At 46.8% G+C, this 5,373-nt stretch overlaps 1 annotated feature.

Annotated features, from left to right (window-relative positions):
* Positions 829–1,328: an enhancer, noted in NCBI's record as "H3K27ac hESC enhancer chr7:155884497-155884996 (GRCh37/hg19 assembly coordinates)". NCBI's record gives its function as "activates a minimal SCP1, AML or CMV promoter by ChIP-STARR-seq in primed H9 embryonic stem cells {active_cell/tissue: H9 hESC(primed)}" and the evidence as "EXISTENCE:reporter gene assay evidence [ECO:0000049][PMID:30033119]".

The following is a 5,373-nucleotide window of genomic DNA, read 5'->3' as shown; positions in this document are numbered from 1 at the left end:
GTTTTCAGCTAAGTGTTATGATAAAATAGTCAAAAAGTTTGAAAAAGTTAAAAGTGTGTAAAGTAAAAAAGGTGCAGCAAGCTAAGGTTAATTTGCTATTAAATAAAGAAAATGCTGGCCGGGCGCGGTGGCTCATGCCTGTAATCCCAGCAGTTTGGGAGGCCGAGGCGGGTGGATCACGAGGTCAGGAGATCGAGACCATCCTGGCTAACATGGTGAAACCCCGTGTCTATTAAAAATACAAAAAATTAGCCGGGTGTGGTGGTGCATGCCTGTAGTCCCAGCTACTCAGGAGGCTGAGGCAGGAGAATCGCTTGAACCCGGGAAGCGGAGGTTGCTGTGAGCCGAGATTCCGCCATTGCACTCCAGCCTGGGTGACAGAGCAAGACTCCATCTCAAAAAAAAAAAAAAAAGAAAAGAAAAGAAAAGAAAAAAAGAGAATGTCTTAATCAGTGGGGTGCAGCCTAAGTGTAGAGTGCTATAAAGTCACTGTGGTATGCAGCCATGTCCCAGGCCTTCACATCTGCCCACCACTCACTCCCCGACTCACCCAGAGCAACTTCCAGGCCTGCGAGCTCCACTCATGGTGACGGCCCCACACAGGCGTCCCACTGTTTATCTTTCACGCGTGTTTTGACTGTACCTTTTCTGTGCAGATGTATTCAGATGAACAAATACTCAACGCTGTGTGACAGTTGCCTACTGTGCATGGTACGGTACCATGCTGTCCAGGTTTACTGTCTGGGAGCCGTGGGCTACACCCTCCGGCCCAGGCGTGCAGAGGCTATCTCATCCAGGTGTCCAGGTGTCTGTGAGAGCACTCTAGGAAGTTTGCATGACAACAAAATCGCCTAAAGATGCCTCTCTCAGAACACATCCCCATTGTTAAGTAATGCGGGCCAGTATTCCATTTTTGGGGGCACCTGCCCTGCCTCCAGTACGAGGAGGGAGGAATGTGAGGGTTCAGAGCTGTCTGGAAAGGGCCTTAGGGTGGGGGTGCATTTCCTCTTCTCCCTCAGTCCCCAGGCTGCATTCACTGCCTTTAGAAAATCCCAGACCAGAAGCCTCTATTCCCTGTGCTGGGGCAGCCACGCCTGCAAATCTGGGCTCCCTCTTTAGAAAATGAATTTACTTCAGCAGAGATTTCCTCAACACGTGCAGGGAATGCAATAGGGAGAGGAAGAGGACAGGGTAGGTGAGGACCCGGGGGTCTTTCCTTGGGCCGAACACTCTTCCTGACACCCCTGGGCAGCCTTCAGGGAGCGCGTCTTGCTTGTGAGGTCAGAGAAGCAGTCATCTCCCTTGGGATCAGCCTCCTGGGGGCCGATGCTTGGGCAGGTGCCGGGGCCCATCTTCTGCTGGCTGAGGTCTCACTCCACTCAGAGGCAGCCTCATTTGCTCTGATGTGGCTGCTTTTGAGGTGGGGAGCAGTCTACCCCGTCCTCACCAGCTTTCTTGAGATACAATTCACACACCACACAACTTATTGGTTTAAGATGTACAATTCAGCGGTTTCTAGAACATTCACAGAGTTATGCAGCCATCACCACAATCACCTTTTGAGCACTATCATCACCCCTGATAGAAACCCTGAGTCCATTCACAGTCTCTCGCAATCCTCGCAACCTCCCTGCTCCACTCCAGCCTGCGGCCCACTCATCCGCCTCCTGTCTCTTTGGATCTGCCTGTACTGGGCATTGCATGGAAGGGAACCATGCACTGCATGGCTTTCTGTGTGTGGCTCTGTCACTGCACATCAAGTTTTCAGGGCTCCCCAGCACTAGAGGCTGTGCTAGAGCTTCCTGCGTGGCTGCTTTTGGGAATACAGCTTTGATGGTGGTTCAAGGCCCTGGAGATTCTCTGAAGGGGCCCCTGGAGGAGGGGCCTGGTCTAGCAAGATCAGAGCCTGAGAGTGCTCCCTGGTGTCCTGGGGTGGGTGGGCTGACGGCCCCCAGGTGCGTGGCCCAAGGCACATGGTGTCATCCCCCCTCAACATGCTAACACAGATAGCATTTACCTGATTCGGAGCCTCAGGAAGGATAAAAGTGACAAGACAGGGAGAGTGTGGACAGAAGGGAGGAAAGGCCGGGTTGTGAGCCAGTCAGGTGTAGATACGCAGATAAGAGACAGGACTGAGATGCTCAAAAATAAATAAATACATAAAAGAATTGAATCCCTTTCCCAGCTGCGTGCTGTTTGCCTAGTGGAGCCAAGGAGGCAGGATGCAGCATCTTTTCGAGGCCGGGATGCTCCCTCCCCTCCTGCTCCAATCTTCAAGAATTCTCCATTCTCCTGAGCCTGAAACAACTTGGTACCCTTCAACTGGTTAACTCTTGAACTGTGTGATAGACGTTAAGCACTTTGGAAGGCAATGGAGTTAAGGCACAACGGACATGACACAGCAGTCCTGCAGCTACGGATCCACTTGCCACCCCCTTCTCCAGCCTCTCAGGTAGCACCGGGTGACCGGTCCCAGCGAACCTGGAAGGCCAGGAACCTTGGGAGCAGAGAGGAGATGTCACATGTGGGGAGAGAGATGGTGAGGCGAGGAAGCAAAATGCCTCACCAGGACCAGCCTCTGGGGAGCCCAAGGACCAGGCAAAGATCACTGTCAGCAAATGAAATAAACGTGAGAGGAATCACCAGTAGCAAAGCCATACCTAACAAAAGGGCAGATCTGAGCTCTCTCGGCCCAAGGTATTGCACTTTGGGACACCTAAGAAAAATAATACAAACTCTAATTGCAAAACCACATATGGAATGAATCTTCACTTAGAATGAGAAGAGAATACGACAAATTACAAGTTCTTAAAAGTTGACAAATGCAGCAGATGCTGCAGCATTTTTAAAAATGAGACTTTTACCTACCTACTCGGCAGCACACCTTCCTGACACTTCTTCCCGCGCTTTCCGCCCTCTTCGTGTGACAGTTTTGTAGAATCGGTTCTTCACATCTGGTGTCTATGGATTATACCGATTGGTTTTCTTTGTATCCCTCTCATCTACTGTCTTTGTTTCTTGTTTAAGAAGATCCTTACAACTTTCTTTTTCTCTTCCGTTGTTATTTTAATTGCCTTTCGTTTTTGGATACTGTGATTCTTCATTATTGAGACACTCAGAGTTTTTATTTGCTGTGGTGTAGAAGGGCTGATGGCATTTTGAAAGTCCAGCCTCCCATTTTTCACTTTATATTTGTGTCTTCCACTGGGATCATTGCTTCCTACTGTATTGTAATTGTGTAATGGTCAACATGAAATTTATAGGAAACAGAGGCACAGGTAAGAGTAGGTTGAGTGGATGTTAAAGTTGCCACTCTGCTTCCCTGAGCAACTTAACTGAGCATCAGACATCTTACTGAGTTATTTGTGAGTGTGTTTATAATTTTTGTCACTGGAGCGCTTATGTCTTCAAGCTGTGTCACTGTGTTGGTGGCCATTTTTCCTGCCATTTTGTTGGGAACAGGCAGAATGAGTCAAGACCAGAAGCACCGAGTGCGCTATGATGGAACAAGAGGAGTCAGATGGCTGAGAGGGCAGCTCCCCACACACCCACACTGTCTGGAGGCAGGCCACAGTTGCAGGGATTCTCATGCATTCTCGTTCTCACAATTTACATCGTCAGAGGGGTGTAGGCTGCATTAAATGTTCACACACTGCATGAGAAAGTATGTTCTCATCAAGAGGACACGAGCATGTTGACTGGGCATTCAGAGCAACCACGTGCTCTTCACGTGGCTCATGACTGGAAGAACTTCCCGTAGACTAGCTCCTGCTCCTGACACTCGAAACCGTTTCTCCTCCACTGCTGAGTATTCCTGGGGCAGATTCCAGAGGCACGTTCACACAGCTGCGGAACCTCTGGCCCGGAGAGGTATTTCTGGAAACCATTTATATACCTGGATGGGTAGCAGTAACACAGCCCCATACCCAGCTGGCTGTGAATCACAATATCTGTCTCATTAACCCAGATTACTGTATTTCCAGCTCAACTTTGCCTTAGCTGGACCCAAGGTATCGTGGCAAATCCAGCACCACAGAACATGAAGGCAAATGTGATAGAGAAAGACAGCAACTCAAATACATTGTGATTAACGCATCTTTCTTTTGCAAATGTTATAAAAATATAATTGTGTCAAAACATTGCTAGGGCTCCTTCCCCGGTTTTGCCGCCATTCCCGCTCTGGGCAAAGGCCACGTGATGCCGTGTCTCCACCTCCCGTTGCCCACCACATACCCCTCCTGTTCTTTCTCTGTCATTTCCCTCCTCTGTCTCTTCATTTTCCCACTGAGAAGAAGGTGCCACGAGGTATCTGAGAAGGGAAGAGGACCCACAAAACTGCACCAGGAGAAGCACAGAGTAGCAGTGCTGCCGAGGCTGAATTTTACACTCACGTCAATTCAGGTTTAACAGAATTTCAGTCTATTTGGAAACTTTAAAAAATGATCCCAACATACACTTTAATGACAAACGAGCAACAATAACAAAAAAATTCAAAAAATGGAGATGGTGGGTGAAATAGTTGGGATACTAATCCCACCAAAATCTCTAATAAAAAAACAAAAACAAATCCAAGACTGGTACTGCACTCAACAACTATTAACTGAGCTAAAAATATATTCAAGGAACAGAATAAACAGAACTAAATCACATCATGGGATATATAAAAATGGATTCTACAGTATAAAGGAAAGAAATGCATACACAATAAGATGTTGGGAAAATTCACCAAGGGAATGTCTCACAAATCCACCAGTGTGCTGGAACCAGAGTCAACTGTGCACCTCCCCTCCCTGCTCCACTGGCAGCGATAGCTTGGGAATAGGCCATCTGGGAGTATTTACACCACAGAAAGCAGCAAATGTTACACATCAAGGTTGTGTGGGTTTTTCCCCCTAGAGACAGTTGCTAAACAATTACCATCACACTATTGGTTGATACACACAAAACTTAATTTCAGAATAAGTGAAATTTAAGTGTGAACAGTAAGAATTTTGATGAGCTGGAAAGATGTAGATGGGTATTTAACCAAGCTCTACATGAAAGCGACGAAAGGGAACTCAGAGTGCAGGATGCACTGATTTCTCGCACCTGGGAACTAACAACGCATGGACATAAAATAGGAAACAAAATTCAAAACACATGACACACTGAGAAAACAATATATATGATAATAGATGGTTCATATTTATATCAATAAGTAATATACAACATCCTATTAGAAAATGAACAAAGACAAGGTAAACCAGAAAGAAATGAAAATTAAACAATAAATATCAAAAAATATTCCATCTCAGTAACAATAAAAGAAATGAAAATGAGGTGCTGATGTAATATGATTTTTTGAATCCAGTGGAAGCCACTCTGAAATGCTCC

This window comes from Homo sapiens, chromosome 7 (assembly GCF_000001405.40).
Source record: "Homo sapiens chromosome 7, GRCh38.p14 Primary Assembly".
In the NCBI taxonomy this organism is placed as follows: domain Eukaryota; kingdom Metazoa; phylum Chordata; class Mammalia; order Primates; family Hominidae; genus Homo; species Homo sapiens.
The sequence above is the reverse complement of the archived record's forward strand: the minus strand, read 5'-3'. Positions and strand labels throughout refer to the sequence as shown.